Source organism: Homo sapiens, chromosome 3 (assembly GCF_000001405.40).
Source record: "Homo sapiens chromosome 3, GRCh38.p14 Primary Assembly".
Lineage (NCBI taxonomy): Eukaryota > Metazoa > Chordata > Mammalia > Primates > Hominidae > Homo > Homo sapiens.
Window position 1 is genome coordinate 33,445,051 of NC_000003.12, and position 10,822 is coordinate 33,455,872.

The following is a 10,822-nucleotide window of genomic DNA, read 5'->3' on the forward strand; positions in this document are numbered from 1 at the left end:
GGATAAATTTCTTTTTTTTTCCTTTTTTTTTTTTTGAGAGAGTCTCACTCTGTTGCCAGGCGGGAGTGCAGTGGCACAATCTCGGCTCACTGCAACCTCCACCTCCTGGGTTCAAGTGATTCTCCTGCCTCAGCCTCCTGAGTAGCTGGGATTACAGACGTGCACCTCTATGCCCAGGTTTTTTTGTTTTTTTGTGTGTGTGTGTGTTTTTAGTAGAGACAGGGTTTTACCATTTTGGCCAGGCTGGTCTCGAACTCCTAACCATGTGATCCACACGCCTCAGCCTCCCAAAGTGTTGGATTACAGGTGTGAGCCACCATGCCTGGCCATGAGGGATAAATTTCTAATCATTGCTTCATTTATTCTAAATTATGGAAAAAGAGACAATAAATGATGTCTGTATCTACAAGACTGAAGGCCTCCTGGCAATGTTTTTTTTTAAATTTATGATATTGGTTAAGAGGAGTGGACTAAAGTTTTTGACTGATTATGAGGTAATAAAGGTATTAACATCAGTTATCTATATTGGGGTTTTTTAATTGTTTAATTTTTTTTTTTTGAGACAGAGTCTTGCTCTGTTGCCAGGCTGGAGTGCAGTGGTGCGATCTCGGCTCACTGCAACCTCCTCCTCCTGGGTTCAAGTGATGCCCCTGCCTCAGCCTCCTGAGTAGCTGGGACTATAGGTGCCCGCCATCATGCCTGGTTAATTTTTTTGTATTTTAGTAGAGACGGGGTTTCACCATATTGGCCAGAATGGTCTCGACCTCCTAACCTCGTGATCTGCCTGCCTTGGCCTCCCAAAGTGCTGGGATTACAGGCATGAGCCACTGCACCCAGCCTATTTTTTAATTTATTAAGGCACAAGGTTGTTTGTTAGAAGACTGGCTTTGAAATCTTTTATAAATAAAACTATATTCTATGAGTGCATATAAGACTTTTATTTATTTTTATTGTCTATAGAGGCATATGTAAGGAAAAAATTAAGAGGTAAGAGTCTCATGATGGTAGAGAAGTCTTGATTTGTGATCTTGGGAAAGTTGTCCATGTCTAGGATGTTGTCTGTTTTCAGAGAAAGTTTTTTTTTTTTTTTTTTTTTTTTTTTTCTGGTTGGTTTTTTGTTTTTGTTAGTTTTAGGTCTCTAATGGGTATATAGTTTTAAGAGTCTGGGCCAGGCGTGGTGGCTCATGCCTGTAATCCCAGCACTTTGGGAGGCTGATGTGGGTGGATCACCTGAGGTCAGGAGTTCGAGACCAGCCTGACCAACATGGAGAAACCCTGTCACTACTAAAAATACAAAATTAGCCGGATGTGGTGGCACATGCCTGTAATCCCAGCTACTTGGGAGACTGAGGCAGGATAAGTGCTTGAACCCAGGAGGTGGAGGTTGCAGTGAGCTGAGCTCGTGCCATTGTGTAAACGCACCAATCAGCACCCTGTCAAAATGGACCAATCAGTGCCCTATCAAAACAGACCATGCGGCTCTCTGTAAAATGGACCAATCAGCAGGATGTGGGTGGGGCCAGATAAGAGAAGAAAAGCAGGCTGCCTGAGCCAGCAGTGGCAACCCGCTCGGGTCCCCTTCCACACTGTGGAAGCTTTGTTCTTTAGCTCTTTGCAATAAATCTTGCTGCTGCTCACTCTTTGGGTCCACACTGCCTTTACGAGCTGTAACACTCACCGCGAAGGTCTGCAGCTTCACTCCTGAAGCCAGTGAGACCACGAACCCACCAGGAGGAACAAACAACTCCAGATGTGCTGCCTTAAGAGCTGTAACACTCACCGCGAAGGTCTGCAGCTTCAGTCCTAAGCCAGCAAGACCACGAACCCACCAGAAGGAAGAAACTCTGAACACATCCAAACATCAGAAGGAACAAACTCTGGACATGCCGCCTTTAAGAACTGTGACACTCACCACGAGGGTCCGTGGCTTCATTCTTGAAGTCAGTGAGACCAAGAACCCACCAATTCCAGACACATTTTGGCAACCACAAAGGGACTATCACCTATTGCCAAGCGGTGAGACTATCGCCAAGTGGTGAGACCATCGTCTATCGCTGAGCAGCAAAACAATCGCCTATCGCCAAGCAGTGAGTACCATCGGACCCCTTTCGCTTGCTATTCTGTCCTATTTTTCCTTAGAATTTGGGGGCTAAATACTGGGCATCTGTCAGCCAGTTAAAAGTGACTAGCGCGGCCGCCGGACTAAAGACATGGGTGTCAGGCTTTCTGAGAAAGGGCTCTCTAACAACCCCTGACTCTTCGGAGTTGGGAGCGTTGGTTTGCCTAAAACCAGCTTCCGCTTTTCCTGTACTTCTGGGCTGAGCCGAGGGTAGACAGAGAGGAAAGTATGCAACTCCAGGGTCCTGACAACAAGTTGGTTGACCCTGGGGCCATGAGCAGAACTCTCAAAGGCATGTCGCCCAAGCGAGACTCGCCCATCTATCCTATCTATCCTGACTCTTGCCCCCTGGGTCCTAATGCCTGCCAGACAAACTTCCTCTCACCTCTCTTCTCTGAGGTTAGTCCCACTTCTAAAAATTGCTACCTGTCTCTGGTGCTTTTCTCATTTCTCCTATAAGAATGATTTCTAGTATAAACTCCAGGACTCTGTTACCTTCTTTAGGCACCTGGGCTCCCCAATCAGAAAGACATAATTTTTGCCCAAAGCCCGTCATAGTGGGGACTACCTGGAATTTTAGGATCCCTCCTCAGACTAATAGGCCTAACAAAAGCTATTCCTGAAGCTAGGATATGGGGAGCCTCAGAAATTGTATCCTTCCTATTCACATAAGTGAGGACAAAAGGCGTCACTCTTCCAACCCTGGAGATCCCTTCCCTCCCACAGGGTATGGCCCTCCACTTCATTTTTGGGGCATAACATCTTTATAGGAGAGGGGTAAAGCCCCAGTACTAACAGGACAATGCTTAGGACTCTAACAGGTTTTCAAGAATGCGTCGGTAAGGGCCACTAAATCCGATTTTTCTTGGTCAGGCCTCCTTGTGGTCCAGGAGGACATGCAAGCGTGCAGGTTTTCGAGAATGCGTCAGTAAGGGACACTAAATCTGACCTTCCTCGGTCCTCCATGTGGTCTGGGAGGAAAACTAGCGTTTCTGCTGCTGCGTCGGTGAGGGCAACTATTCCGATCAGCAGGGTCCAGGGACTGTTGCGGGTTCTTGGACAGGGGTTGTTTCTGCTGCTGCGTCAGTGAGCGCAACTATTCAGATCAGCAGGGGCCAGGGACCATTGAGGGTTCTTGGGCAGGGGGAGAAACAAAAAAAAAAACCAAAACTGCAGGCGGTTTTGTCTTTCAGATGGGAAACACTCAGGCATCAACAGGCTCACACTTGAAATGCATACTAAGCCACTGGGACCAATTTGACCCACAAACCCTGAAGAAGAGGTGGCTCATTTTTTCCTGCACTACGGCTTGGCCCCAATATTCTCTCTCTGATGGGGAAAAATGGCCACCTAAGGGAAGTACAAATTACAATACTATCCTGCAGCTTGACCTTTTCTGTAAGAGGGAAAGCAAATGGAGTGAAATACCTTATGTCCAAGCTTTCTTTTCATTGAGGGAGAATACACAACTATGCAAAGCTTACAATTTACATCCCACAGGAGGACCTCTCAGCTTACCCCCATATCCTAGCCTCCCTATAGCTCCCCTTCCTATTAATGATAAGCCTCCTCTAATCTCCCCTGCCCAGAAGGAAATAAGCAAAGAAATCTCCAAAGGACCACAAAAACCCCTGGGCTATTGGTTATGGCCCCTTCAAGCTGTACAGGGAGGGGAATTTGGCCCAACCCGGGTACATGTCCCCTTCTCCCTCTCTGATTTAAAACAGATCAAGGCAGACCTGGGGAAGTTTTCAGATGATCCTGATAGGTACATAGATGTCCTACAGGGTCTAGGGCAAACCTTTGACCTCACTTGGAGAGATGTCATGCTACTGTTAGATCAAACCCTGGCCTTTAATGAAAAGAATGCGGCTTTAGCTGCAGACTGAGAGTTTGGAGATACCTGGTATCTTAAGTCAGTAAATGATAGAATGACAGCTGAAGAAAGGGACAAATTCCCTACCAGTCAGCAAGCCATCCCCACTATGGATCCCCACTGGGACCTTGATGCAGATCATGGGGACTGGAGTCGTAAACATCTGTTGACCTGTGTTCTAGAAGGACCAAGGAGAATTAGAAAAAAGCCCATGAATTATTCAGTGATGTCCACCATAACTCAGGGAAAGGAAGAAAATCTTTCTGCCTTCCTCAAGCGGCTACGAGAGGCCTTAAGAAAATATACTCCCCTGTCACCCGAATCACTTGAGGGTCAATTGATTCTAAAAGATAAGTTTATTACCCAATCAGCCACAGATATCAGGAGAAAGCTCCAAAAGCAAGCCCTGGGTCCTGAACAAAACCTAGAGGCATTATTAAACCTGGCAACCTCAGTGTTTTATAATAGGGACCAAGAGGAACAGGCCCAAAAGGAAAAGCGAGATCAGAGAAAGGCCGCAGCCTTAGTCATGGCCCTCAGACCAACAAACCTTGGTGGTTCAGAGAGGACAGAAAATGGAGCAGGCCAAACACCCGGTAAGACTTGTTACCAGTATGGTTTACTAGGACACTTTAAAAAAGATTGTCCAATGAGAAACAAGCTGCCCCCTCATCCATGTCCACTATGCCAAGGCAATCACTGGAAGGTGCACTGCCCCAGAGGATGAAGGTTCTCTGGGTCAGAAGCCCCCAACCAGATGATCCAACAATAGGACTGAGGGTGCCCGGGGCAAGCGCCAGCTCATGTCATCACCCTCACTGAGCCCCTGATATGTTTAACTATTGAGGGCCAGGAAATTGACTTCCTCCTGGACACTGGCGTGGCCTTCTCAGTGTTAATCTCCTGTCCTGGACGACTGTCCTCAAGGTCCGTTACCATCTGAGGAATCCTGGGACAGCCTGTAACCAGGTATTTCTCCCACCTCCTCAGCTGTAATTGGGAGACTTTGCTCTTTTCACGTGCCTTTCTAGTTATGCCTGAAATTCCCACACCCTTATTAGGGAGGGATATATTAGCCAAGGCTGGAGCTATTATCTACATGAATATGGGGAACAAGTTACCCATTTGTTGTCCCCTACTTGAGGAGGGAATCAACCCCGAAGTCTGGGCATTGGAAGGACAATTTGGAAGGGCAAGAAATGCCTGCCCAATCCAAATCAGGTTAAAAGATCCCACCACTTTTCCTTATCAAAGGCAATATCCCTTAAGGCCTGAAGCTCATAAAGGATTACAGAATATTGTTAAACATTTAAAAGCTCAAGGCTTAGGAAGGAAATACAGCAGTCGCTGCAACATCCCAATTCTAGGAGTACAAAAACCAAATGGTCAGTGGAGACTAGTGCAAGATCTTAGACTCGTCAATGAGGCAGTAATTCCTCTATATCCAGTTGTACCCAACCCCCTATACCCTGCTCTCTCAAATACCAGAGGAAGCAGAATGGTTCACGGTTCTGGACCTCAGGGATGACTTCTTCTGTATTCCCCTGCACTCTGACTCCCAGTTCCTCTTTGCCTTTGAGGATCCCACAGACCACATGTCCCAACTTACGTGGATGGTCTTGCCCCAAGGGTTTAGGGATAGCCCTCATCTGTTTGGTCAGGCACTGGCCCAAGATCTAGGCCACTTCTCAAGTCCAGGCACTCTGGTCCTTCAATATGTGGATGATTTACTTTTGGCTACCAGTTCGGAAGCCTCGTGCCAGCAGGCTACTCTAGATCTCTTGAACTTTCTAGCTAATCAAGGGTACAAGGTGTCTAGGTCGAAGGCCCAGCTTTGCCTATATCAGGTCAAATATCTAGGCCTAGTCTTAGCCAGAGGGACCAGGACCCTCAGCAAGGAATAAATACAGCCTATACTGGCTTATCCTTGCCCTAAAACATTAAAACAGTTGCGGGGGTTCTTTGGAATTACCTGCTTTTGCCGAGTATGGATCCCTGGATGCAGGGAGATAGCCAGGCCCCTGTATACTCTAATCAAGGAAACCCAGAAGGCAAATACTCATCTAGTAGAATGGGAACCAGAGGCAGAAACAGCCTTTAAAACCTTAAAGCAGGCCCTAGTACGAGCTCCAGCTTTAAGCCTTCCCACAGGACAAAACTTCTCTTTATACGTCACAGAGAGAGCTGGGATAGCTCTTGGAGTCCTTACTCAGACTCACGGTACAACCCCACAACCAGTGGCATACCTAAGTAAGGAAATTGACATGGTAGCAAAAGGCTGGCCTCACTGTTTAAGGGTAGTTGCAGCAGTGGCCATCTTAGTGTCAGAGGCTATCAAAATAATACAAGGAAAGGATCTCACTGTCTGGACTACTCATGATGTAAATGGCCTACTAGGTGCCAAAGGAAGTTATGGCTATCAGACAACTGCCTACTTAGATACCAGGCGCTACTCCTTAAGGGACCGGTGCTTCAAATATGCATATGCGTGGCCCTCAACCCTGCCACTTTTCTCCCAGAGGATGGGGAACCAATCGAGCATGACTGCCAACAAATTATAGTCCAAACTTCTGCCACCTGAGATGATCTCTTAGCATTCCCCTTAACTAATCCTGACCTTAACCTATATACTGATGGAAGTTAATTTGTGGAGAATGGGATATGAAGGGCAGGTTACGCCATAGTTAGTGAGGTAACCATACTTGAAAGTAAGCCTCTTCCCCCAGGGACCAGTGCCCAGTTAGCAGAACTAGTGGCACTTACCCGAGCCTTAGAACTGGGAAAGGGAAAAAGAATAAATGTGTATACAGATAGCAAGTATGCTTATCTAATCCTACATGCCCATGCTGCAATATGGAAAGACAGGGAGTTCCTAACCTCTGGGTGAACCCCCATTAAATACCACAAGGAAATTATAGGGTTATTGCACACAGTGCAAAAACCCAAAGAGGTGGGAGTCTTACACTGCCAAAGCCATCAAAATGGGAAGGAGAGGGGAGAACAGCAGCATAAGCAGCTGGCAGAGGCAGCAAGGAAAGAGAGAAAGAGACAGGAAGTCAAAGAAAGAGACAGAGAAGAAGAGACAGAGAGACAGAAACAGAGAGACAGAAACAGAGAGTCAAAGAGAAGGAGACAGAAAAAGAAACAGAGAGGAAGAAACAGAGAGTTGAAGAGAAAGAGACGAAGAGAAGGAGTCAGAGAGAAAGAGGGACAGACACAGAAAGTCAGAGAGTCAGAAAGAGAGGAAGAGACAAAGAAGAAGTCAAAGAGAAAGAGAGATGGAAGTAGTAAAGAAAAAACAGTGTATCCCATTCCTTTAAAAGCCAGGGTAAATTTCTGTCTACCCAGCCAAGGCATATTTTTCTTATGTGGAACATCGACCTATATCTGCCTCTCCACTAACTGGACAGACACCTGCACCTTAGTCTTTCTAAGTCCCAACATTAACATTGCCCCAGGAAATCAGACCTTATCAGTACCCCTCAAAGCTCAAGTCCATCAGTGCAGAGCCATACAACTAATACACCTACTTATAGGGTTAGGAATGGCTACTGCTACAGGAACTGGAATAGCCAGTTTATCTGCTTCATTATCCTACTACCACACACTCTCAAAGGATTTCTCAGACAGTTTGCAAGAAATAACGAAATCTATTCTTACTTTACAATCCCAAATAGACTCTTTGGCAGCAGTGACTCTACAAAACTGCCGATGCCTAGACCTCCTCACTGCTGAGAAAGGAGGACTCTGCACCTTCTTAGGGGAAGAGTGTTGTTTTTACACTAACCAGTCGGGGATGGTATGAGATGCCACCCGACATTTACAGGAAAAGGCTTCTGAAATCAGACCACACCTTTCAAACTCTTATACCAACCTCTGGAGTTGGGCAACATGGTTTCTCCCCTTTCTAGGTCCCGTGGCAGCCATCTTGCTGTTACTTGCCTTTGGGCCCTGTATTTTTAACCTTCTTGTCAAATTTGTTTCCTCTAGAATCGAAGCCATCAAGCTACAGATGGTCTTACAAATGGAACCCCAAATGAGTTCAACTAACAACTTCTACCGAGGACCCCTGGACCGACCCGCTGGCACTTCCACTGGCCTAGAGAGTTCCCCCTTGGAGGACACTACAACTGCAGGGCCCCTTCTTCACTTCTATCCAGCAGGAAGTAGCTAGAGCAGTCATCGGCCAAATTCCCAACAGCAGTTGGGGTGTCCTGTTTAGAGGGGGGATTGAGAGGTGGCAGTGTGCTGGCAGCCCTCGCAGCCCTCGCTCACTCTTGGCTCCTCCTCGGCCTTGGCGCCCACTCTGGCCATGCTTAAGGAGCCCTTCAGCCTGCCACTGCACTGTGGGAACACTGGCCAAGGCCAGAGCCAGCTCACTCAGCTTGTGGGGAAGTGTGGAGGGAGAGGCGCAGGCGGGAACTGGGGCTGCATGCGGCGCTTGCGGGCCAGCGTGAGTTCCGGGTGGTTGTGGGCTTGGCGGGCCCCAGACTCGGAGCGGCTGGCCTGCCCTGCTGGCCCCAGGCAGTGAGGGGCTTAGCACCCAGGCCAGCAGCTGTGGATGGTGCGCTGAGTCTCCCAGCAGTGCTGGCCCACCCCACCAGCACTGCACTCGATTTCTCGCCAGGCCTTAGCTGCCTCCCCGCAGGGCAGGCCTTGGGACCTGCAGCCCACCATGCCTGAGTCTCCCCTGCTGCCGCCGTGGGCTCCTGCGTGGCCCAAGCCTCCCCGACGAGCACTGCCCCCTGCTCCCCGGTGCCTGGTCCCATCGACCGCCCAAGGGCTGAGGAGTGCAGGTGCATGGTGCGGGACTGGCAGGCAGCTCCACCTGCGGCCCCAGTGCAGGAAGCCAGCTGGGCTCCTGAGTCTGGTGGGGACTTGGAGAATTTTTATGTCTAGCTAAGGGATTGTAAATACACCAATCAGCACTCTGTATCTAGCTCAAGGATTGTAAATACACCAATCAGCACCCTGTGTCTAGCTCAGGGTTTGTCAATGCACCAATCGGCACTCTGTATCTAGTTAATCTGGTGGGGAGTTGGAGAATCTTTATGTCTAGCTAAGGGATTGTAAATACACCAATCAGCACTCTGTATCTAGCTCAAGGTTTGTAAACACACCAATCAGAACCCTGTGTCTAGCTCAGGGTTTGTGAATGCACCAATCAGCACTCTGTATCTAGTTAATCTGGTGGGGACTTGGAGAATCTTTATGTCTAGCTAAGGGATTGTGAATGCACCAATCGGCACTCTGTATCTAGCTCAAGGTTTGTAAATGGACCAATCAGCACTCTATGTCTAGCTCAGTGTTTGTAAATACACCAATCGACACTCTATCTAGCTAATCTAGTGGGGACGTGGAGAACTTTTGTGTCTAACTCAGGGATTGTAAATGCACCAATCAGAACCCTGTCAAAATGGACCAATAGCTCTCTGTAAAACAGACTGACTTTCTGTAAAATGGACCAATCAGCAGGATGTGGGTGGGGCCAGATAAGAGAAGAAAAGCAGGCTGCCTGAGCCAGCAGTGGCAACCCGCTTGGGTCCCCTTCCACACTGTGGAAGCTTTGTTCTTTCGCTCTTTGCAATAAATCTTGCTGCTGCTCACTCTTTGGGTCCACACTGCCTTTATGAGCTGTAACACTCACCGCGAAGGTCTGCAGCTTCACTCCTGAAGCCAGCGAGACCACGAACCCACCAGGAGGAACAAACAACTCCAGATGCGCTGCCTTAAGAGCTGTAACACCGCGAAGGTCTGCAGCTTCACTCCTGAGCCAGCAAGACCACAAACCCACCAGAAGGAAGAAACTCAGGAAAACAGCCGAACATCAGAAGGAATAAACTCTGGACACACCACCTTTAAGAACTGTGACACTCGCTGCGAGCGTCTGTGGCTTCATTCTTGAAGTCAGTGAGACCAAGAACCCACCAATTCTGGACACAATTGCACTCTAGCCTGGGCAACAAGAGTGAAACTCCATCTCGAAAAAAAAAAAAAAAGAGTCTGGAAGGGCCCTTCTGAGTTGTAATATTATGAACTTAAATTTTGAGGTCCTGAAGTTTTGTTGCAGTGTGAATGATAAGAGTAGTCTTTTTTTGATATCATCTGTAGAAGACCCAATTTTGGGGTTTCAGATTAGGAAGGGTTTGATGGTTTTTAGTGGACTATGAAAAGGTTTTTTTTGGTGAAAATATATTTTGGTATAATGTACTAAAGTCTTGTAGTATTTAGTCATAATAGAGTTTAACAGTGGAAGCTATATGAAGTTTGTCTTGTTTTTTTTTGTTTGTTTGTTTGTTTGTTTTTGAGACAGAGTCTCACTCTGTCACCCAGGCTGGAGTGCAGTGGTGCGATCTCGGCTCACTGCAAGCTCCGCCTCCTGGGTTCACGCCATTCTCCTGCCTCAGCCTCCCGAGTAGCTGGGACTGCAGGTGCCACCACCACGCCCGGCTAATTTTTTGTATTTTTTAGTAGAAACGGGGTTTCACCGTGTTAGCCAGGATGGTCTGGATCTCCTGACCTCATGATCTGCCCACCTTGGCCTCCCAAAGTGCTGGGATTACAGGTGTGACCCACTGCTCCCAGTCATGAAATTTTATTATTAGGAACATGGGCCTTTTAGTTACTGTTGTTTACGGGGCCATTCATTTTTTATTTTTTTTGAGACAGGGTTACATTCTGTCACTCAGGCTGGAGTGCAGTGGCGCAACATAGCTGACTGCTCAAACAATCCTGCCTCAGCCTCCCAAGTAGCTGGGACACGAAACCATGCCCAGCTATTTAAAAATTTTTTTTGTAGTGATGGGGTCTCACTATGTTGTCCAAGG

At 47.6% G+C, this 10,822-nt stretch overlaps 1 long non-coding RNA gene across 1 annotated transcript, besides 2 other annotated features; it reads left to right on the forward strand.

Annotated features, from left to right (window-relative positions):
* Window positions 1,453-1,954: an enhancer, noted in NCBI's record as "H3K27ac hESC enhancer chr3:33487995-33488496 (GRCh37/hg19 assembly coordinates)". NCBI's record gives its function as "activates a minimal SCP1, AML or CMV promoter by ChIP-STARR-seq in naive H9 embryonic stem cells {active_cell/tissue: H9 hESC(naive)}" and the evidence as "EXISTENCE:reporter gene assay evidence [ECO:0000049][PMID:30033119]".
* On the forward strand, window positions 1,503-10,254 carry LOC124909363 (uncharacterized). The gene is made up of 2 exons (XR_007095862.1): window positions 1,503-2,087; window positions 7,986-10,254. It is a non-coding gene; the product is annotated as an uncharacterized LOC124909363 (long non-coding RNA).
* Window positions 3,089-3,588: an enhancer, noted in NCBI's record as "H3K27ac hESC enhancer chr3:33489631-33490130 (GRCh37/hg19 assembly coordinates)". NCBI's record gives its function as "activates a minimal SCP1, AML or CMV promoter by ChIP-STARR-seq in naive H9 embryonic stem cells {active_cell/tissue: H9 hESC(naive)}" and the evidence as "EXISTENCE:reporter gene assay evidence [ECO:0000049][PMID:30033119]".
* Window positions 10,255-10,822: the final 568 nt, after the last annotated feature.